We start from the raw sequence: 22,663 nt of genomic DNA, 5'->3' as shown, positions 1-22,663 counted from the left end.
CTGTGGATCTGAGTGCCCATGCCTTCTTGACCCACCCCTGGGTCTCTCTTTGGGACATGGCTCCGACCTCAACAGGCTCTTGGCTCTCTGGAGCCGGCCCTGGGGTCTTGGTCTGGGGTCACCCTTGGGGTACCACACAGTGCTCCAGGGGCTCATGTGGATACTGGGGGTCTTGCTCTGGGGAAGCCTCTCCTGGCTTGTGCAAAAGGCCCTTCCCACACTCCTCACATCTCAAAGCATGGTCTGGGAAGGACCAGAGCCTCAGCCACCCCAGGTGCTGGGTCCCCCAGACCAGCTGAGCCAGAGCCTGCATTTTGACAAGACCCCCAGGAGTTCCTGTGTGCATCCTGGGTCCTGCAGCAAGGCAGACCAGGCCAAAGCTGGAAGCTGTCACTCCCCCAGACCTTCCCTGGCCCTCAGCCATGACCCTGCCCCATGCTGCTACCCGCGTGCTCCAGCCTGCCCCATCCAAGGCAGCCAACTCCAGGATTACCTGCCCAGTGCAGCATCTCAGCTACTGGAGTGGGCTGAGTGGTGTCCCCTACAAAGATATGTTCAAGTCCTAACTCCTGGCACTTATCAATGTGATCTCACTTGGAAACAGGGTCTTTGCAGATGTAACCGAGTTAAGATAAAGTCGTAGGGGTGGGCCCCAAATAGAATGACTGGTGTCCTTACAAGAAGAAGACACACAACAGAGACACACAACAGAGAGGGCCGAGTGACCACAGAGGCTGAGATTAGAGTGATGCGGCCACTAGCCAAGGAACACTTGGAGACCCAGGAGCTGGTAAAGGCAGGAAGGATCCTCCCCTGGAGTCTTAGAGGGAGCGCGGCCCTGCTGGCACCTTGATTGTGCACTTCTCACCTCCAAAGCTATGACAGCATCCATCTGTGTTGTTTTAAGCCCCCAGCCTGTGCAGGTGCAGGGCATGACATAGCTGTTATCCGATCTCCAAGAACTGGCCCCGTTGTGCACTCAGCCAAGCCCATCTGCCAGGTTGTCACAAGATGTCTCAACACAATGAACCTCCCGACTCAGTGAGGAGGCACGCACGGGGCATAGGGGTTGCTCACTCCTGTGTGGGGCTCGCAGCACACTTTGCCCAGGAGTGACACAGTGTGTCCCACCCACCGGCGCCCCAGGAACAAAGGCCAGGTCACACCTGCACAGCCAGTGGCCTCCATGACTGCTGCACAGTCCTGGCCACAGCAGATGGTCCCAGAGGTGGCTGGCACCCCTCAGGGGACCGTCTTGCTCATCTGTCCCCCTTTCTCTCCCTCCATGTCCTCTTCTCCCTCTGCCTCCTCATCCAGCCTTCAGTGCAGGGATTCTCAACTGGGGGTGGTTTTGCCCCCCACGTACACTGGCAATGTCTGGGGACATTTCTGGTTTGCTTTCACAACTTGGGGAGGGAGGTGCTACTGGCCAGGTAGAGGCCGGGGATGCTGTTAAATATCACCTGCTTCAAAGCAACCAGTCATAATTTTGGGGGTGGGTGTCATAGACAGTGTGAGAATCTGATAGACTCTGTGGATTTTTCTCCCCAGGAAAGCTCACATAAGCCCTGAATTTTGCTTCCAGTTGGGTAAGATTGTGCAACTGGACTCTCTTGGAGGTGATCTTATTTTCAAAATCGCAAACCCTTTGCTCGTTGTAATCTGAGCACCCCTCCGGGAAAGGTTCATTCCCAAGAGTGCTTCTTCCCCCTGAAATGAACACGGCAGCAGCTCTGTCTGCTAACCACGCTGGCAGGGGCCCACACACACTTCAGACGCTGCGTGTGCCCAAGCAGCCTTTTAATAGATTCTGGCTCTGCCCCTCTCCAGGAGAACAGGCCGCCCAAACCATCGCTCCTTCCAACAGCCCTAGGGGCTGGTGCAGCTCAGATGAGAGCTCTGGGGTTTCCAGGAAGCCTTCATAAAACAGCTTATGATTTGAGAGGCTCCAGCAGGGATGTGGGAACATCTCAACTTCAGCCCTTTGAAAACTTGAATGGACGTTTCTACCCCACAATCACGGTTTCATCTTAAACATGGCCAGATCAACTGCTGAAAAGCCTCTTTTAGCCCTTGAGCCAAGTTACCAGTGAAAAGTTGGGGTCATTTCACTGGTTAAAAACTAGATCATTTTGGTGACAGTAACCAATGTCCTTATGTTTTGCTTTTTAGCTCAAAGTCATGATAGAGAATATAAAATATTTAAAAAGATATTTATGAGATAGTATTTAATGAGACTTGGAAAGGGTCTTTTCTCGTCCTTCTTGCCGCTTCAGTATGAACAATAATATATGACACAATATCAGCCAAGCATCTGCCACAGGCCAGACTCTGAATTAAGCACTTTGCAAAGGTTACTTATGATAACTCAGTGATGCAAATACTCTTGCTATCTCCATTTTACAAATGGGGAAACTGAGGCCTAGCTTTTCCATCAGGATAAGTGGAGGGTCTGGGATCTGGCAGAAGTCAGTCAGAATTACTAGACCCCAGAAGTTCCTGTTGAGCGTTAAGATCTCAAAGTTGTAGTCAGGAAAGAATGAGGATGGAGTGTAAAATCCCCTGGGGAGGGGCCAGGCGCGGTGGCTCACGCCTGTAATCCCAGCACTTTGGGAGGCCAAGGCGGGCGGACCACGAGATCAGGAGATCGAGACCATCCTGGCTAACACAGTGAAACCCTGTCTCTACTAAAAATACAAAAAATTAGCTGGGCGTGACGGCGGGCGCCTGTAGTCCCGCTGAGGCAGGAGAAGGCGTGAACTCGGGAGGCGGAGCTTGCAGTGAGCCGAGATTGTGCCACTGCACTCCAGCCTGGGCAACAGAGTGAGATTCCGCCTCAAAACAAACAAACAAACAAACAAACAAACAAACAAACAAACAAACAAACCCTGGGGAACAGATGAGACACAAGGACCATGAAGCTCAAAATCCAGCTCTCTCGGCCTCAGCTCCCAGAGAGTGGCCTCGGCCGCCAAGCTTCCCTGATGGAGCCGATTCCTTCCTCCAGTTCTAAGTTGACATGCTGAAACAAACCCTGTATAGTAGCCGCATTGTTCTGAAAGCCACAGGGCTGGAGGGCAGGACCGTGCGAAAACCCATCAGGAATCCACTGCTCGCCTGTTCCAAGTGTCTAAGACAAAGTCGGGCAGGACACTGTTCCCTGGCAGCTGCCCCCAAAGGCAGGGAGAAAGTCTCTGAATCCTTGTCAGGATCAAACTTTGCTTCCTGATCATCAAAACTTGTAAGGCTCCTCACCTGCCCTCAAAACTCCAGAGGGACCCATCTGGGTGGCCGAACTCACAATCTCCTGCCGGGTGGCCAGACCTCAGGAAGGTGAAAGGAGACCCAGACAGATGCCCCAGGTTCAACAAGACCCTTTGACTCACTAGGCCAAGGTCCAGGGAGGCCCCATGGAGCACGTTCCATTGATTTCAAGGAAAGTCATATCTACTTGTCACAAAACAGAGGCGTTTCCACTCCAGGTTCCCTAATTAACCTGCTTTTTGGTCTAAATACTCCGAGGACATTCTTATCACTGGACCAAAAGCATTTAAGGACATGGTGGTGCCTGTGGATGAAATTTCAAACCAAAGCCAACGTTCATTTTCAACATCCACTGGGGACTCCATGGTTTCTAAGTTAACCTGCCGACAACTTTTTCTGTTTTCGATGTGTTTTAGAGACTTTGTCGATTCTTGGGTAATCCGCACAGTGATGGCTCTGTAGGCTGGGGCCCTTCACCCAATATTCATGGAAGGAAGGGTTCCCGTGCACAGAGAGGTTAAGATGACAGCCAGAGAGCACACAGCAGCCAGCAGAGCCGCTGAAGGAAGCACCGCTGTGCTAGGGCTGCTAAAGTCATTCTCTCTGCACACAGCTGCACCCTCGGCCCCGCAGCAGCCAGGCACTCGAGGGGGGTCGACCTTTTGTTCTCTTTTGAAATCTTTCTTCTAGGAAGATTCGTAGGCTTTGCTAGGGAGCAGGGCTTCAGAGCACAGTGTTACAGAGCCACGGACTTCAGAGCACCAACGACTCCCAGGGCTCAGCTGGACCCACATCTCACTCTACAGACGAGAAACTGAGGCCCAGAGAAGGGCCGACCCCATCCAGGAAGACTCCCAGGAGAGCTTTGTCCTCCCTCCCCCGATTGGCAAATCTTCCCAGGAAAGGAGCTGACCAGAAGCAGGCGATGCTCTGACTCTGAAGGTCATGGCTGTGAAGGCCAGACCCTCTCCCAGAGCAGACATGGCCAGAGGAGCAGGTCAGGGCTCCCTAACTCTGTTCAAAAGCAATTTCTACCCCACCTTAACAAGAACAGTGTTTTTGTCTGCTGCCCTGTCTTCTTCTTCTTTTTTTTTTTTTTTTTTTTTGAGGCAGAGTCTCACTCTGTCGCCAGGCTGGCGTGCAGTGGCGTGATGTCCGCTCACTGCAACCTCTGCCTCCTGGGTTCAAGTGATTTTCCTGCCTCAGCCTCCCGAGTAGGGGGGCCACAGACACATGCCACCATGCCCAGCTAATTTTTGTATTTTTAGTACAGATGGGGTTTCACCGTGTTGGCCAGGATGGCCTCGATCTCTTGACCTCGTGAACCACCCCCCTCAGCCTCCCGAAGTGCTGGGATTACAGGTGTGAGCCACTGCGTCTGGCCCGTCTGCCCCTTCTTTAAGAACAGCTTAAAGCTAAAACAAGATACCAGCCTCGCACCCTCTGACTATGGAAGCAGCTGCCCCCCTACTGCCCCCCACGCAGCCCACCCCCCACCCCCCACAAACAGCGCGCAGTGAGATAGTTACGTCCTCGTCCCGCTCCAGCTCCAGGCCCGCCTCCAGGAGGTTGCCCTCGTACTCCTCCCTGCGGAAGCGCTTGTCATCCTCGTGGTAGTCCATCGGGGGCTCCCCCGAGCCTGCATCCAGCGACGCCCCCTTGCCCGGCAGGGGGTGGTCCTGCTTGACGCTGCGAGCCCCAGAGGGGGTGTCGCTGTGCTGCACCCTCCTGACCAGGGTCCGGTTGCCCGAGGGCCTCTTGTGATGGTACACCAGGATGTAGTCCACCTTGCGCCGGCCGTCCCTGAAGTACAGGCCATACTTGCACTCGGCATCAGGGTCCACAGATAAGGAGTTCAGCAGCTAAGGGTGGAAGAAAAGACACCCATTCACCATCGAGCTGCTCGTGATGGGCCTTTGGAGGGTGCGCTGCTCCCTTCATCCACTCACTCCTCACTCACTCGTTCAACAAACACTCCCTGAGCGCCCTCCACGGGCCAGGCACTGTCCTAGGGCCTGAGATACACCTGGGAACACAGCAGAAGACCCTGCCTTCAGGGAGCTGAACTTCGAGAAGGAGGTATTCACTGCTAATCATTCATGAAGGTGCCAAGCCACATATGGTCCCCCAGAAGCCCTCCTGGTCTATGGAACTAGAGCAGGCTGGATGTCAGGAACCTCCCTGGCTGCTTGCAAAAAGCTATGGTAGGGGATGGTTAATGGGTACAAAAAATAATGAGAAAGAATAAGACCTAGTATTTGACAGTACAACAGGGGACTATCATCAATAATAATTTAATTGTACATGGACAAATAACTAAAGGAGCATAACTGGGTTGTTTGTAACACACAGGATAAATGCTTGAGGGGAAAATACCCAGTTTTCCATGAGGTGATTATTACGTATTGCATTACCTGTACCAAAATATCTCATGTACCCCATAAATATATACACCCACTATGTACCCACCCAAATTAAAAATTAAATGAACAAACAAAATATCCCCCAGCAACAAAAGCTATGGCAAAAGCTACCAAGTGAATGAGGGCTCCCCATGCACATGGATAGGGGCTGAGGCAGAGCTGAGCTCAGGTTCTGTGCGTGCAAATCTCAATCTCTGATGGCCAGTGTCAGAGGCAGTGCCATGTCAAGGTGGCCACAGGGCCACTAACTAGCTGTGTGTCCAGAGGTGAGGCTTTCACTGTCTTAGTCAGGGCTCTCCCCCAAACAGAGCCTGAGCAGAGGCCAGGGGTGCAAGCGTTTTACTTGGGAGGTGATCTCAGGTGCCAGAGTAGGGTGAAGGGGAGGGAGGCTGACAGGGGTGGGTTAAGGAGCGGCCACCGCTATGTGCAGCTGGGGTCCGTCCTGCTGGGGACCCTCGGAGTGACCTTGAAGGGCACATCCCACTGCCAGTACCCAGAGGGTGAGGAAGTTGGGTGATCATGCACCCGCTCTGGCCCTTTCTTGGCTGGGGGTCACTCCTGGGGTGTTAATGACCCTGCGCTTGCACCTTCCCCACACGTGGCCTGCGGCAGCACCTGCACGGTCAGTCACCTTTGGGTGCAGAGGACAGTGAGCCACTGGTATGGATGGGCACCGCTGGTGGGTGCCCTGGGGTGACCAAGGGGGCGGGGTTAGGGCTCCAACAGGGCCTGCCCTGCCTCAGTTTCCTTATTTGTTTGAAGGACTCTAGGGGGCCACGGGAGATAGCAGTATGGAGCAGTTTGTTTAAAAACCAGATATTCCCACAGTGGCAGTGTGATGGGACCATTGCTAAAGCCAAGCCTGCATTGCTGGAATTCCCGAGGGGTTTGGCCGGTTATCAAGACAGACAGGTCGATCAGCAATCTGGGTTTCCGAAATAAGAAAAAATAAAAAAAGCCATGCTGGGTAGAACCTAACAGGCAACTCCAAGCTGCTAATGGTCCACAGAGCTGTGCCTCATCCCTCGAGCTGGCCGCCTGGTTTCCACCTCAGTTTCCTGTGGCTACGTGAGGACGCTCCCTAGGGCACTATCAGTTCCCGAGGGGCATCATCCGAGAAGAGGGCCTCCCTGATGGAGTGCAGGGACGGCATGCTGCGCCAGGCAGGGCCCGAGCACCTGTGGCCTTTGGACAGAGCTGTGCTTGGGCCTCGCTGGCCTGGAGGGTCCCCCCACGTGGTCGCCTGGAGCCCCTGGGCAGCTTCCGGCTGCACCATGGCTCTAAATGGCTGTGCACTGGTCGGGAAAAGGGGCAGGCAGAATCCCTCATTCGAGGCAGGTGGGCTGTATACAACCCAAAGTGTATCAGGGAAGCCGGAGGGTGGAGCCCCTCCCCAAACAGTCAGCACTGCAGTGGGGGAGAGGGGGAGGGAAGGCCTCGAGTGGAGGCTGTCCTTTTTAGTTGTAGGGGAAGGAGAGAGGAGGCTCTGGGCCAGGGCTGCTGGTTGGGGGCTGCCCCACCTTTCATAGGTGTTGATGTCAAGGGTCTAGACTCCTCTACCCCTGGTTAGGGGACAGTTGGGGCCATGTCCCTGGCACCTTGGCCTCTCTGGCCCTAGGATGCCTCTCCTGGAAACAGCATTGCTCACCACCTGGGAGGGCCTGGTCAGCATCTGGTGCCGGCAGGAGGCTGAAACTAAGCAACTGACTTCTCTCTACAGTAACACAGGGCCCCGCTGTGCTGGTGACCTTCAGGAGGACCTGGACTCAGTGTGCGTGCCCCGCCCACCTTGCCCTCTGTGACAAAGTCTGAGGGTGCTTAGGGGCCACGACCACGCCCATGTGGGTGGGTGGCTTGGGAGGGCTCAGGGGGAAGGGTGGGGGAGGGCTGGCTTTTGAGGGCAGTGGGTTCCCATGCCCAGCCCCATGAAGGACGGGGTTCACGGAAGACCCCAGTATCGCAAGTCTGTAGCCAGCACGGGGGGCCTGCATTCCTTCTGCAGGAGAAGCACGAAAGAGCTATTCTTCTCAATTCGCCAAGGAGGAAACTGAGGCCCAGCAGGGCAGGAGAGCCCGGGTTACAGCGCAGGCGGGAGGCTGAGCTCAGCCTCAAGTCCCATCTGCACGCCCAAGGTGCGGCCCCCCTTAGTAGGAGCCGCGACTAAGGGTGACGCTGTTTCTCGGCCCAGGTATGTCATCTCGCTGAGTCCCCACAAGCTGACCCTATGAGGGGGTTACTATAGTTAGGTCCATTTGACCTGGAGGAAACTGAGGCTCCCACGGGTGAGCTGCCCAGCTCAGTGGCCCTGAGTACCAGACTCCTGCTGGCTGACCCCAGTGCAGGGCTCTGTCTCTGGTGCTGAGGGGCATGGGGAGAGTGCAGCAATTTAGCAGGCCTCAGTTCTGTCCCAGCCTGGGGCAGTGGTTAAGCAGGGCCAGTAGAGACAGCAGATAAGCACAGGCTAGTCGGGAGGTTTGGGCAACACCAGGCCACAGGTATGTCTGGACAGTGTGGGGCAGCAGGTGAGGCCAGCCCAGGACAGGGCACTGGCTTCATGGCAGGCCGTGTAGTCAGCCAGACCTGGGTCTACATCTAGGCTTGGCCCCTCTCCAGCTGCAAGGCCTGGGGGAGGCTCTGGACACTCTGAGCCCCAGGGTTGGTTTCTGCTAAATGCGGAGCAGCGGGAGGCTTCACTGAGGGGATGATGGTCTCTGCTAAGCTCAGCACACACTGACCAGAACGTGCCAGGATGGACGCTCCATCTAATTCTGGGGCCAGGCACCTGGGAGCCATCCCCGTCACCCTGATGGCCACCCAATGGCAGATACGCTTTCCCCTCAACATCTCAGGGAGGTCAAACAAGGGCAGGGTTACAGGGAGCTGGTGACTAAAGGTGCTTTTCTCTCCCCATGGCTGAGGGGGCAAAAGAGCCCGACCGGAAGCTGCTCTTGGAAGACAGAAGCCCATGTGCAGGGAATGTGCCAGTGCCCAGCAGGTGAATGCAGGGTCTCGAGGGGTCGGAGGGCACACCTGCCTGAGTCCCAGGTGCGCCTGAGGGCTTCGGCTATTCCTCCTCATCTCCTCCCCATACTGCCTTCCCCAGTCTCCTCTCCCCCTCCCCCAGGCCTTCCCCAGTCCCTCCTCCTTGCCTTTGCAGACACTGTGTCCCTCCCTGTACGCCCTTTCTGTCCTTCTCAGCCCTTTGTAATTCAACCTGGTTTTCAGGGCACAGGGCAAATCCAGCATCCTCTGGGATCTGAAGGTGGCCAGCCCCTCTGGCCTCTGCAGGTCTCTCTGTGCTGGGACTGCCTCTGAGCCATCTACCCACAAGTTCTTAACTTGCAAATTAGCCCCAAAGCTGGATGGCAGGACCCCGGAGGCCTGGCCAGGGACTGTCTAGAGATGTGTTAGGACAGAGCTCCAACCTGACCTCAGTACACAGGGACTGAGAACCTGGTTGGGGCTCCATAAACACTCCTGGTTGGCAGGGATAATGATAATAGCAAACAAATCCTTAGAGACAGGGAGGAAATTCCACAGGGATCCCTCCAAGCCAGAAAGCAGGGAAATTACACTAAGGAGTGGCCAAAAATCCTCTATCAAGTTGAAACAGGGAAGGCTACCAGGTTCAATACGAACCCCCATCATCTGTCCACTGGGGGCCTATCAAGGGACACACCTACCCTCAGGGGCCTACAGTCTTTGGGAGAGCAGAAACATCATCTAACTTCCCATGCATGGTGGAGGGAGAGACAGCACTGGGGCCTGATCAAGAGTGGGCATCCTCCTACCTGTGTTCAAACACCAGCTCTGCCACTCACCAGCTGTGTGACCCCAGGCACACAGCTTCGTGTTTTTGTCTCTCCATATCCCTAAGACCTACCTCATGTTATATGACCTCCCTCATGGGGTTGCTGGAAGGATGAAACCTGTTAATATATCTTGTAAAGAGTTTCCAACAGGGCCTAGCATAGAGTGAACCTTCAACAGAAGTTTGCTCTAATTGGGAACTGAGACACACGCACATAAAGAACTAGGGGAGGACAGGGGAAAAAAAATCTTGTGGCCAGAGTGGACCACAAGTGAAAGATGGTAGCAGTGCCAAATCCAGACTTTAAAAAGTTACAAAAGGAGCTGGATGTGATGCTGGGACCAGCAGGAGGCAGCACCAAGCACAGGTGTGGGAGTCCCAGCGCCTGACTCTGTCACTGATTTGCTGTGTGACCCTGGATAAGCTGCTTTGTCTGTTTAGGTATTAGTTTTTAAGGTGTGGGCTCTCTCCCGTCTACACTCTAAAAGGCTGGGAGGCTCCTAGGGTCTGGAGAGCAATCCTGAGCTGGGCTTGGAGAGAGTCGGGAGGTGAATGCATAGCAAGGACCAGTGCGTGTGACTTTATGGTGCCCTTCCACGGAGCAGTGGAGTGGGTGCCTTTCTTGTGTAGAACGGGACAAAAAGGCAAAGATGTAATTGCAGTGGGAGGGATGTGGGTGAGACTTTGTGCATAACTTCCAAATTCGAAGGCCTGGGAAAGCTTCAGAACATTTCTGTTTCTGTATTCTTAAGAAAGGGGCAAGCAACCCCTCGGTGCACCTTTGCTGAGGGTAAGGAGTTTCTTATTCATCTTTTCTTTTGAGACGAATTCTTGCTCTGTCGCCTAGGCTGGAGCGCAGTGGTGCGATCTTGGCTCACTGCAACCTCCACCTTTTGGGTTCAAGCAATTCTTGTGCCTCTGCCTCCCAAGTAGCTGGGATTACAGGTGCATACCACCATGCCTGGTTAATGTTCATAATTTTAGTAGAGACTTGGGTTTCACTATGTTGGCCAGGCTGGTCTTGAACTCTTGACCTTAGGTGATCCACCAGCCTCGGCCTCCCAAGGTGCTGGATTTAGAGGTGTGAGCCATGGCACCCAGCCCTCTTATTCATCTTTTTGATGGTTAGCACTGAATATGTGGTTGCTGAATGAATGAATGAATGCAGGCATGTGTGAATGAACAACAGAGGCTGGGTCTTGTATACTGTGGCTGGCTGTGGCCATCAGATCCAAGGATACAGAAGCTGAGACCCAGGCAGGCCAGCAACTTAAACACCACAACCCCCAACTGGGAGCCTCAGTTTTCTCATCTGTGAGATGCCGACAAAGACATCTGGACTTAGGTCACAGGATTCTTGTGGGGATAAAATGTGATCGATGATCTGAAGGTATTTTGAAGACTTCCTTCTGCATAACTGAGGGAGGTACTCCTGGAAGGTGCCTCCCTAAGGAAGATAGGAATATGGTGGAAGAGAAATACTTCCCTGAGGCCACATGGGAAAATGTGAAGGACAAAGGTTCCCTTCACAGCAGGAGTGTCCTGGAAGACCTGTCCCAGGCGCCATGAATGGCAGCCTATATCTGGTCCACACCTGCCTCTATGAACCCCTTCCTCAAACTCCAACAAAAGGGCAGAAGGGGGAAAGCAATCCTATGTCCTTTAACCTTTAATACTGTCCTGGGACTCTGGGCTCTGGTTTCTTCCGCTGGTCTCTGGAGTTGGTACTCCAGGAACTGAATTCATATCCATATGAAATATCTTGATCACTCAAGGGAATCTACAATGTTCACTTTCTCTGAAAATGGGCTAAATGAAATCAGTGGCCTGTAAAATTTCTTTTGGTTTTGAGACTCTTCAAATTATAGTTAAGAAGGGAACATCAGTTTTAAACTTCCTTTGTCTTCTAAAAAAATTTTAAAACCAGGTCACTACATATCAATGTACGATTATGGGGCACGTTCCATAATCTACAAGCAGATCATCTCCCACAGCAGATAAGCCAGGAAATACTGGGCAGATACCAGCAAATCAGGTATCTCTGGAGTGTCTGGGCTTGTTTGGGGCACACAGATCCCAGACCATGGACAACCACCAGTTTCAAGGAAGAAAGTAGAAACACTCAAAGATTAACAGAGGGAAATGGAAACAAATTGCATTCAACCTGGCCTCTGGCTTTCAAGTCATTTCTTCTTATATCTCTGCACAGAAACAATGAAGTCATTTCCACCCTTGAACTTGGGAATGAAGAGAGGCAAAAGTCACAGGCTGGGAACCGCAGCCTGAATTGGATGAACTTATCTTGTGGTTGACTTGTGCATGTATGAGTTTCACACCTGAGAACAGGATAGGAACTTTTGAAATGCAGCCCACGCCCTCTGGCCCTCGTGTGTACAGAGCCGCCTTCGTTGGGTGACTCAGGGTAATGACTGAGCAACAACTGTTGGCTTGAGTGGTGCCGGGGATGCCCTGGGAGGCTCTCCCTGCCATGCTGCCTGCCCTGCACCAACAGGCCCCTGCTCCATGGCTGCAGCCTCCAGCCTGTCTGGCCATCTACCGGCAGATGCTGCTCCCAGGGTCTGCCTCCCACAGCGCGCGCCTCTGATTCAGCCTTCCAAGCTCACAAAACAAAGTATGTGTAACGGAAGTGTTGTGTGGAACCCAGGAGCTGATGGTCTCATCTGGGCCCAGCTGCCTCTTTGCAGACTTTATGGCCTTCACCTGGGTTTGCAGGAGGCAGATAGTTTCTGGGTCTGGATAAGCAATGGGTCCTGGAACAAAAACTCTAGAGACCGGGGGCTATTCATGACAGGCTCCATTTCTTATTGAACATTCAGTTCACCATCAGGTCTTGTCTAGTCTACCCCCAGAGCATCCATTTCTCCATCACCTTGGCCACCACTACCATCCCCTGGCTCCTGGCTGGTACCTCCATGGTCCCACCTTTGGGACTTTGAGTATGCAATGTTTTTGAAAGACTCAGTCCCTACCCATTATGGGTAGAATTAGCTCCTTCTCCAGAATGTTTATTCTTCAGGCAGGCTTTCTGCAGCTACCTGGTCTGTGTCCTGGGCCCTTCCTAACTGTCCTCCCAGCTGATGGGTGACTTGGAGCTGGTCACCTGCCCCTCTGGGCCTCAGTCTCCTTGCCTGTAGCAATAGCACCTACCTCACACGTTGTGAGAGTTCAATGAGCTAAGACACAGCACTGGCCCAGCACTATGGAATAGTCCCTGTCACTGCCGTGGATAACGGGTAACGTTCCATCACCATTTCTTAAGTAAGCTCCAGATGGGCGGAGCCTTCCCTGTCTCATTCTTTGAGGGTGCCCAGGGGCCAGCATGGCCTGGCACATGGCTTTGATCAAATGGCAATCCCTGAGCTCCTCCGGCCAGTCCTGTGAGTCACAGGTAGACTCCCTCTCCATCTACACCTGTTCCCAGTGCTCCTGGCAGCTCTGTGCAATCTCATTTCCTGAAGAGATGCCCCCAGGCCACCCCCCTCCACTGTGACCCAAGGGGTGCAAGGCCTGACCAAGGCCAGAGTCCCTGCTGTCGCTGGAACAGAGACTCAAAGCAGGAGCTTTGCTCCCGCTTCATTCCCTGCCTCTCTGTGAGCTCCAGAGACTAGAGGGACAGGCCAGGGCCATCCTCATCCTGCTTGAAGCAGCCCTGCTGGGCCTGACGCCTGGGGAGGGGCTTTGATGGGGTCTGCATGGGAAGAAGGTAGAAGGGAGCTTCTGTCCTTAGGTCCCACAAATTGCTGCTGAGAGCTTCCCTCACCCCAAGAGGAGATAGCCAGTCCCAGCCCTGTCCTATCCTCTTCCGGCAAACTTTGTCCTTCAAGCCAAACCCTTCCTGGGAGAATTCTGCCCCCCTCTCTAAAACATAGGGTTACCTAGACCTCTGGGTCTGGCCCTGGGGAGGGTGGTGGGGATATTGGGGACCTCAGGATGGGGTCCCCAACTTACATGACTGGCTTCCAACCAGTGCCCCCACCTGAACCAGGCCTGGGCGCCCAGGGGAGACAGGGGCGAGGGTAGAAAGCAATCTCCAATGATTGACACCCTGGGCTTTGAGAGTTTCGGTGCCAATGCCAGGGTACCAGGCCCAGTGCCCTGGGCACAATATGCGTTTCTGGCAAGTGAGGACTCGGGACTCTGGCCCCAGAGGATAGTGAAGCAGTGGGGCCTGGCAGTTACCATCATCGTGGAGTGGCGACCAACTTGGCCTTCACCCAAGACCCCCACCATCACCCTCACCCTGGCTGCCCCAACAGGTACCCCTGGCCGCGAGCCAGGAAGGGAAGGTCCCATCCAGGGCGCCAGCCGTGAGCTCTTGGTTGGGCTCCGAGCTGCAGCCCCGGGTGAGGCGGCTTCGGGGCCGCAGAGCTCCGAGGCCGGGCCATGCCTGGGGGCCCGGCGCTGCGCTGGGCGGAGTGGGCGCCGCGCTCGGAACGCTCAGAGCGCAGGCGGGGCGCACGCACTTGGCCAGGGCCGGCGCGCCCTTCCCGGCACGCACGTGCGCGGGTGGGCGCCGCGAACCCTGCGCGGAGGGTGCGGCCCCCGCCCTGGGGTCCCAGGAGGCCCTGCCGCCGCCCGGTTCCCGCCCTCGCCAAGGCGCAGGTGCGCGGCCCTCCCGCCCGGGTCGCGGCCGCCCGCACTCACCGTGCCCTCGGACGGCAGGTAGCCGATGTCCTCGATGGCGCAGATGTTGATGATGTGGACGCTGCGGTCCTCGGCCGGGAGCGTCGAGTACTTCTCGTTGACCCTCATCGTGGCCGCCTGTGCGCTGGGACCGCCGGGCGGCGCGCCCTCCCCATCCACGGCCCCGGCGGCCTCTGCGGGCGGAGACCGCAGCGTTCGCGGCGCGCTCGCAGGGGGCCGGGCCTCCCCGCGCCCAGGCCCGCCGGGGACGTGGCCGCCTCCCGCTCCGCCCGCCGCCCTGGCCCGCCCGGCCCGCGCGCTCGATGCGGGGGGCGCCTGAGCCTCTCGGGGCCGATCGCGCCGCCACCCGGCTGCTGGTCCCGCGGGCCGGCCCGCGCCTGGTCAGGAACTTGGACGCCAGCCGGCCCGCCTTTGCCTTAAAGATATAAGCGCTCTCCGCCCGCCTATGGCAGGGGCGGTGGCCGCGCCGGTCAGATTTTCCGTAGAAATTTAAACACAGGAAGAAAAAGTATTCCATTCCTGCGGGCCCCTCCAAGTTTTATTTTTATCCAGGGAAAGTGCCCCTTTGGATTTTTGAGGGTTTTCATACCGGGTGTGAAAGGGGGGAACTTTCAATAGCCCCACCTGAAATAAAGTCCCCGAGTGGCAGGCGCTTCTGTGGCGCGTCACCTCCGCCTCCGGGGGGAGTGAAGCTTCTGAGATTGGAGTCTGGATCTCTGCCCCTTTCCCTCCACCCTGGCAAACTCCTGCTGTCACTCAGCACTCACCTCCTCCGGGGAGCTTGCCTGGTTCCTGCCGACCCGCCCCCTCCAGCTGCCCGCGCTCCTGGGGGAGTCTCTCCCGGGGCAGTCATCTCCCTGGAGCCCACTGATGTTACCGGTGCCCCCGAGTTTACGGAGTGCTTAGTGTTCTGTGCCCAGGTGCGTGCAGCGTCCCTGATGTAGGGCGTGAGTGTGTATCATCTCATTTAACCCCGCACCTGCAAGGTTGGAATGCGGGTCCTCATTTTGCAGAGGACACTCAGGCTTAGGAGGGCCAAGGACCAGTCCGCATCCTCTGAGGTGGGGCGGGGCTCCTGCAGAGCTTTCCCCACTGCTGGGCAAGGCTGTCCTGCTTTCTGGAGGGGCGGAGCGGGGGGGATGGTGGCTTTGATCTCTCTTACCCCCGGACCTAGCAGGGGTCTGGCACACTGCAGATCTTCAAGTCTTCTTCCCCTAAGGAGAATAAGGCAGGTCCCCAGGGGACGACCATACTCAGGTTAAGCCCCAGGGGCCATGCTGGCCACCACATCCAGTGGAAATAAAGTGTCCCTCTGCCTCTCACATCCTATGAGTTCTTCACGGTGTGCATCAGATAGCACCTCCTGCAGGAAGTCCTGCTGGATTCTCCCCTACTGTCCCCTTCCCACCCAAATATGCAGGCCTTCCTGTCTATCCAAAGAACCTGCCTGAACCCCAACTAGCACTTCATTTATTCCGTCTCATTTTACAGTGGGTTGTCTACCAGGTTCACACAGCCGATGCTCAATAATTGCTTGTTAAATGGCCACTGGGGAACATTCAAGGCCTACAGAAGTGATTAGAAAATTGTCTTTAAAGGCCACGATGTCGTCAGCGTGCCATGGTTCCAAGCATGGAACCTGGAGTCAGCTAGGATAGGGTTGGAGAGAAGGGGTGGGGTCTAGCTCCAGCTCTGGCACCTTCCAGCCTTGTGACCTTGTGCCAGCCTCCTTGGCCTCAGAGCCTCCTGGGCCTCAGAGCCTCTGCCTTCTCATGGGAGTTTTAAGCGTGCCTGAAGCTGCCAGGCTTAGCAATGGTGACTGTTGTCACTACTAATGTCATCTTGTCATGACCTACCCTTTCCTGGTGCCTCAGTGAGACTCTCCCATTTAGGCACAAGTCTGTGACTTCCTTGAACTTGGGGCGGTGCAGGAAGGCTATTTGGTTCTCAGGCTGGTGGTGCCAACGGGCACTGAGTGGCCCTAAAGGACCCTTTGTCTGCACCTTGGACAGCGAGAGAGGGTTTGGAGAAGTGCCCCAGGCTGGCCAAATCCATGCCAGGAACAGTGCTCCACAGCCTCTGCTCCTTAAAAGTTCAAGTGTCCAGGGCTGGGAGAATCCCACACGCATGTACAGAGGATTATGTAACTCCATCCACTTATCTTTGTTGGTAAACAACCAACATTGTGTAATACTAATGTACTGTCTTTTCAAATTTGTGTTCGAGTGCCAACAGACCTTCCAGAGCTCTATGAGGTGCAGTTTGCATGAAAAAAAAAAAAGAGTAAAAATATACTTGGCCAAATCTGGACACACTGGTGCTCCCAAAGGTTTGGGAAGTGACATTTCTGGCCTGAGAGGGCTCTGGGGCTTGGGGGCTGCCTGCTGGGGGGCCATCTCCTAGGCAAGGTGGCCCCACCTTCTCCCCAACAGCACCCCTTGCGGCTTTACTCAAGAAACAGTGCTTAACCTCTAGTTTCTGTGATTTATACTGTAGCCAGGCTCAGGGCATCTGCTTGCCTGTAAGACTCCACTTTCTTTGCTATTGCCACTATGTTTCTTTTTTTCTCTCCAGTATCCCCACATTCTGTTTCCTCTCGCCCCTTCCCCAAGTCTTCCCAGGTGGACAGTGTGGACATGCCACAGCAAGGGCAGAGGAAATGCAGCGTGGCCTCTGTGCAGCAAGGGCCAGAGAGGACCAGTTCTGCCTCCAGGCCTCTCGTGGCCTTCGCCGGGGGTTCGTGGGTCTAGGGATTTCAGGGACCGACACAAAGTAAAAACAATAGCCCCCCAAAATAGGAGCGGGAAAAGAATTCCTGTAGCTGGAGATATCTCCCAAGCCAGGACAAGTTTACAGGGTCCTTTTTGTTCCATAGATGGTTCTCTTCTCTGGTTCCCTGTCCCCGCCTGTGTCCTATGGGTCACTTTGCTGGGATTCTCTCTCCACTCCAGTCACTAACTGCTTATACGTGGGGGCTCTCCATAAACTGTTGCACCCAGTTTTCTTTTTGTCTCAGTGATTTTTATCACTAAAACCCCACAGGGACAGATTTTGTGGGCAGGATTAATTCCCTGCTCATGAATTAGTAAAACCCTTGTCTAATTCGTCTAGATGGTGCATTTCATTATGGGAAGCTCCGGGCCTCCCAGCTGGCCTGTTTGGCCACAGTGTTGCTCTTCAGTGTCATTTGATGGCATGTGCCAACAGATACAGGTACAGGTGTCTTTGCTGATTTTTTTTTTTTTTTAAATATGGAATGCTTCATGAATTTGCGTGTCATCTTTGCGCAGGGGCCATACTAATCTTCTCTGTATCATTCCAATTTTAGTATACGTGCTGCCGAAGCGAGCACTTTGCGGACATTTTAATAGTCACCGGGGATGCAAGCATCAGGTGACAAGGAGCGCAGACCAACAAGCTGTCAGGAGGGTGGCTTCCTGGTAGGAGGCAGCACAGGGGAGCCCTTTTCAACGATATTTTATTTCCATCCCGTTGGCATTGCCCACAGGGAAGAATACCTCAGAGCACGGGCCAAGCTGTCTGCAACTCAGTGGGAAGTTGAACAAACCAAACTTTACAAAGGGAGGAAGAACGAGGTGCCCCAAATTATGGAGACACAGGGACTGGTTACCAAGACCATGGACCGGAACAAGAACCTCGCTCCCCATTAACCAACCGCATGGCCTTGGTGTGCCTAGATTTCCTCTTTTGTAAAGTGAGGCTGAAGTGTCTCCCTTTGGATGGTAGGCGAGGACCAAGAGGCCCAGCGCCTGGCGGTGGTGAGTCCAGGCCAGGGAGGCAAAGGTCTCTTCTAATAAAGGAGCTCTAGCGTGGGGCACAGTGGATGTCTCAGCACAGTGGATGTGTGGGGCTGGATCATCCTCTGTGGTGGGAGCTGGCTTGTGCAGTGTGGGACATTTTGCAGGCACCCTGGTGACCTCTACCCACCCATGAGATGCCAGCAGCACCCTCTGCCTCCAGCCCCAGTGTGACAACTAAAAATGTTTCTTGATGTTGTCAAATATCCTCCAGGGGACAAAACCAGCCCCAGTTGAGCACCACTGCTCTCAGATTTCTCAGCAGCCCTCACCTGCATGTCAACTGGACCTGGGGGGGCCAGCTTTATCAGTCCCCATTTCACAGGTGCACACACCTGGAGAGGTGATGTACTTGGCTTAAGGTCAGGCAGGAGAGCAAACTAGGCTTTCAGTCTAGCTCTCCTGACCCCCACCCCTCAAACCAGAGCTCACTCCATGAATTCAACACACAATCTAGAATTAGAGAGGTGGCAGAAAGGAGATTGGGTTTCTTTTTACAAAATAGAAATACACAGGTGCCCAGGGTTGCCCTCCATTGGTAGAGGTCGTGGCACCCACACAGCCCGGGTGCACTGAGCTTGCCCTGCCCCTCGGTTGGCCCAGTACAAATCTCTGCATTCAGAGGGGTTTAATAAGTGCTGTTGACTCATGAGCAGCCCAGGGGAGGGAAAGGAGCATGGAAGGAGTGAGCAGTCATGACTCAAGGCCATTGTGAGCGCCAATGGCCACCCGTCCCACTCCCACACCAGCCCCGTGCTGCCCGGCAACCCGCGTAGGACAGAAACAGAGGCCAAACAGGTAAATGATATCACCTCCTAAAAGCAACTTGGGCTATAATTACCCCGGGGAAGACGTGCCTGGAGAATTTACAACTGAGATATGGTGGGCGGGAGACGGGACCACTGTCATTTCCTTCCCTTGCATGATGTCAGTGCCCGAGCAGAGGCCGGCCAACCGCAGCTTGACGGCGGGACTCCATGGGCTCGGAAACTGCCGGCCGAAGCTCAGAAACGCAGCCAAAGCATGAAGTTCTGTCTTGGGGGTGGGGGGCGGGGGGAGGGTGCGGATTTTTTTTTCCTCCAACAGAATCCATGGACATCCAGTTTCCATAGGAGGGTTTTCAGATTCTTAATGTGTTTTGTGAACACAAGGCCTGCCTTCTGAGAATCCCAAGAGCTTTAAAGCTCACCTGGGGTAGCTGAGAGCCTGGCTAGGCCACCTCCTCCTGGTAGCCTTTCTGGTCCAGCTCAGACGGCATCCCTCACCTCTGCTCCTTCCATCCTCGACTCCAGCCACTCACGTTCCCTTCTGCCCACCATCCTCAGTTTTTTGGGCTTCATTTCTGCACTCTTTACTCTCCTTCCCATCCTTGGCACACTATAGATGTTCCCCATTTATGTTTATTTATTTAACAAGCAGCTGCGCAGCGCTTACTATGAGCCAGCACCGTGCTAAGCTCTTTACAAATGTTAAGTCGCGCGGTTAGGGTGATTACAGCCATCTGCAAGTGCATTCACACGGACGGACGCACCCTCCTGGGTCCTTTCTCATGAGGTGTGGGAAGAAGTTTAGACGAAATCTTAAACAGCTGCTTCCTCCCCAGTGACTCTGCAGGAGGTTCAGCCTTCCTCCCCAGGATGGTGGGTGCATTGGTATCGGAAACCCTGCCGAGGGGGACAGGGTCGGACTCCCCGCAGCGGGACAGCACCTGCCCACTCTGCCAAACAGAGCACCTAGCTGCCTGCCACTGGTTCAATTCTTCTTCCTGGGGCTTGAAAGAGTAAAAGTTCCAGATTGCCTGGCAATTTCCTTTCACCAGCATACTTCCTGAGAATAAGGAACTTCCATCTCGCAGAGGCGGGCGGCTTCAGTCTGAGCTTGTGCCACTCCAGGGAGACAAGGGTGACCCTTATGGCTTCCTCTGAGCCCCTGTCCTGATTATGTATTTTCTCCCTAGACATGATACAGCTTCTGATAGAGAAGGACAGGTCCTGGTCCTCCTGTCCTCTGGCCTGAGGGGCTGAAGGTGACTTGAGGTCCCAAGACCGTGGAGCTGGGACATAGGTTGGCACCCCTGCACTGTTGAGAGTACAAGAACCCCATGAGAGCCGCTCTCAGCCACAGACTCATCCCTGTACCTTCCACGGGGTGTACGCCGGGCGTGAGTGCACCAAAGTTGCATCCCTCCCCTGGTGTTGGTGACCGGCCCAAGCCCCTGATTTCCCTAAAGACCGAAGTCTAATGCCTGAGATGGATCCTAACGTTACAGGCACTGGCTGCAGCAAGCCTCTGACTCTGGGGCGAATCCTCTGGGGCCTCATCACACCCTCCCCTCCCCAAAGTCAAGGAAGCCACACCTCCTGGGCCGACTGTGAGGCTCAGTTATCTTTATAGGAAATCCTGACGCTTTCCTGCAAAACCCTGTGGTTGGAATAAAAGATGTTCCAGAATTTTGTTATGCCATGCAAGGCCTTTTCCTTGAACGCTTGCTGTTCACTTCATTGTGCCTTCACGTATGCATCATTTGGTGCAAAACTGTTTTGTGTCAAGGCCTCTGCCAGGTTGGGGGTCTCTGTACTGCAGCCGAGCTGCTGGGCTGCAGGTTTCTCTTGGGGGGATACTGTGTGTGACAACCATTGGCTGTACACTCCGGGCCTCACGTCTGTGGGAGAAATGAATGGGAACATGAGCCAGGAGCATCACCAGCAGTGGAGGAATTGTCCCAACCCTGCGCTGGGGAATCAGAACCTTCAAGGCCCTCTGGGTTTGGCGCCGAAGACCTCGTCCTCCTGATGCAACGTTTCTGTACAATAAAGGTGTGCGTTACTGGGCCCTGCGGAGTGTGTGTCATTGAGATATTCTACTATCCACGCTAACAAGAGTAAAAATAATCAGGGGAAATCAATAATCTATGTTATGTGACCTGTTATATAAAGAATATCATCTCAACATGTCCTCAGTATAAAAGTTCCTGGCCAGGCATGGTGGCTCACACTTGTAATCCCAGCACTTTGGGAGGCTGAAGTGGAGGATCACTTGAGGCTAGGAGTCAGAGACCAGCCTGGACAACACAGTCAGATCCCATTTCTAAAAAAGAAAAAAAAAATTAGCCAGGCATGGTGGTGCGTGCCTATAATCCCAGCTACTTGGGAAATTCAGGTGGGAGGATTGCTTAAGCCCAGAAGTTTGAGGCTGCAGCGAGCTATGATTGCACCAATGCACTTCAGCCTGGGTGACAGAGCGAGACCCTGTCTCAAAAAAAATTAAAAAAAAAAAAGTTATTAATCAGACCTTGGCCATTCTCTTTTTTCCAACTACATATTTGAAATCTGGTATGTGAATTTTACTTTACGGCATATCTTATTTCAGAAAAGCCACGTTTCTAGGGCTCAAAGTCACATGTGGGAAGGAGCGACCAGGCTGGACTGCTTAGCTACAGAGCCTTTTCCTATTATTTAAGGAAAATTATATTGGATGGCTTTTATTTTCTGCTTTGTCATTTCCTCTGTTTTGTAAGATTTCTGCAGTGACATGAAATAGGTTGATAGGTAGGGAAAGGGTGATATTATTTAAGGCACTGACACACTTTGTAACCTGTGGGCTCATATTGGACCCTTTTACTATTTAAGGAAAAATAGTTGAACAGCTTTTTCTCTGTACAGCACACATGTAGAGAAACCCACCTTTGCCTAAAGGCCAATCACAGCACATTCCCGAAATATTAGGACAGAGTAGCCTTTAATTACAAAACATATCTGATGACAGAGCTGGTCACACAGGTGTTCAACTGAAGAAGCCAAGAGAGCGCCCTATTTCACACCAGAAAGAGATCCAGGAGGACACCCAGGGGCACCCTCCCAGGGATCCTACCATGTAGTACTCCCAGTACATGGGCCATCTACCTTGCCAAGTGGAAGCGATGCGGTTGGGTAAGAGATCTGAGGCAGGGGCTGGCAGCGCTGGGGAGCAGGGGACTAACGCAGATGCCCTCCACGAGCAGTTCTGGGCAGGGGTTCCAGGACTCCGCCTTGGCAGGTACCCCTGAAGGAGATGCTCAGGCCCCTTCCCCTGGCTTTTCTGGTAGAGTGAGGGGTTCATTCAGCTACATACTCATTCATTCGCTCAAGTGTTTGTCCACTCATCCACCTGCTCACTCGCCCATTGGCTCACCCCATTCCCCACTTACTTACCCACTCACCATGCACTCACAATTCATTTATTCACTTGGAGTTTCACTCTGTCGCCCAGGCTGGAGCGCATTGGCATGATCTTGGCTCACTGCAACCTCTGCCTTCTGGATTCAAGAAATTCTCCTGTCTCAGCCTTCCAAGTAGCTGGGATTACAGGCACCCGTCATGACTAACTTTTATATTATTAGTAGAGACCGGGTTTCACCATGTTGGTCAGGCTGGTCTTGAACTCCTGACCTCAGGTGACCCGCCCACCTTGGCCTCCCAAAGTGCTGGGATTAGTGTGAGCCACTGTGCCCAGCCTCATTCACTCATTCTCTTATACCTCTACCTCCTCAAATCCCTTCCTGACTTTGTATTTCTCCATAGAATCCGCCACCCCTTATCTGCAGAGGAGTTCGCTTCATCATCTTGTTTTCCCTCTGCCTCCCCTCACCCTCCTTGGCTAGAATGGCGGCTCCAGGTGATTTTGTCATAATTTGATCGCTCATT

General features: G+C 54.1%; 1 protein-coding gene, 2 long non-coding RNA genes and 1 pseudogene across 22 annotated transcripts in view, besides 4 other annotated features; 1 reads left to right on the top strand and 3 right to left on the bottom strand.

Moving 5' to 3' along the window:
* The window catches only part of ANO1 (anoctamin 1), a 223,534-nt gene that overhangs the window by 96,653 nt on the left and 104,218 nt on the right, over positions 1–22,663 (bottom strand). For 7 of the 20 annotated variants that reach the window (XM_047427185.1, NM_001378092.1, XM_047427181.1 and 4 more), the window contains 2 exons: positions 14,164–14,336; positions 4,794–5,126 (listed from right to left, as the gene is read on the bottom strand). In XM_047427185.1, the coding sequence (XP_047283141.1) occupies positions 4,794–5,126; positions 14,164–14,336 (506 nt within the window). Of the gene's footprint in view, positions 1–4,793; positions 5,127–7,207; positions 7,461–14,163; positions 14,562–14,752; positions 14,861–22,663 lie in introns of those variants that run through there. The other 13 variants (NM_001378095.2, NM_018043.7, NM_001378094.2 and 10 more) reach the window with 6 other exon arrangements.
* Positions 650–862: a silencer, noted in NCBI's record as "fragment chr11:69938122-69938334 (GRCh37/hg19 assembly coordinates)". NCBI's record gives its function as "represses an EF-1alpha promoter that drives an FKBP-Casp9 reporter gene in an ReSE screen in K562 erythroleukemia cells {active_cell/tissue: K562}" and the evidence as "EXISTENCE:reporter gene assay evidence [ECO:0000049][PMID:32094911]".
* Positions 3,049–3,219: a silencer, noted in NCBI's record as "fragment chr11:69935765-69935935 (GRCh37/hg19 assembly coordinates)". NCBI's record gives its function as "represses an EF-1alpha promoter that drives an FKBP-Casp9 reporter gene in an ReSE screen in K562 erythroleukemia cells {active_cell/tissue: K562}" and the evidence as "EXISTENCE:reporter gene assay evidence [ECO:0000049][PMID:32094911]".
* RNU6-1175P (RNA, U6 small nuclear 1175, pseudogene) lies at positions 17,409–17,515 on the bottom strand (annotated as a pseudogene).
* Positions 17,530–20,444, top strand: LINC02584 (long intergenic non-protein coding RNA 2584). The gene is made up of 3 exons (NR_103835.1): positions 17,530–17,556; positions 17,672–17,942; positions 19,939–20,444. It is a non-coding gene; the product is annotated as a long intergenic non-protein coding RNA 2584 (long non-coding RNA).
* Positions 19,383–19,996: an enhancer, noted in NCBI's record as "OCT4-NANOG-H3K27ac-H3K4me1 hESC enhancer chr11:69918988-69919601 (GRCh37/hg19 assembly coordinates)". NCBI's record gives its function as "activates a minimal SCP1, AML or CMV promoter by ChIP-STARR-seq in primed H9 embryonic stem cells {active_cell/tissue: H9 hESC(primed)}" and the evidence as "EXISTENCE:reporter gene assay evidence [ECO:0000049][PMID:30033119]".
* Positions 20,541–20,718: a silencer, noted in NCBI's record as "fragment chr11:69918266-69918443 (GRCh37/hg19 assembly coordinates)". NCBI's record gives its function as "represses an EF-1alpha promoter that drives an FKBP-Casp9 reporter gene in an ReSE screen in HepG2 liver carcinoma cells {active_cell/tissue: HepG2}" and the evidence as "EXISTENCE:reporter gene assay evidence [ECO:0000049][PMID:32094911]".
* LOC105369371 (uncharacterized) lies at positions 21,701–22,219 on the bottom strand. Its single transcript, XR_007062760.1, has 2 exons — positions 22,180–22,219; positions 21,701–22,058 (listed from the first exon to the last, which is right to left on the bottom strand). It is a non-coding gene; the product is annotated as an uncharacterized LOC105369371 (long non-coding RNA).

The sequence above is a fragment of the Homo sapiens genome, chromosome 11 (genome assembly GCF_000001405.40).
Source record: "Homo sapiens chromosome 11, GRCh38.p14 Primary Assembly".
Taxonomy (NCBI): domain Eukaryota; kingdom Metazoa; phylum Chordata; class Mammalia; order Primates; family Hominidae; genus Homo; species Homo sapiens.
This window is presented reverse-complemented; position numbering and strand designations above follow the sequence as displayed.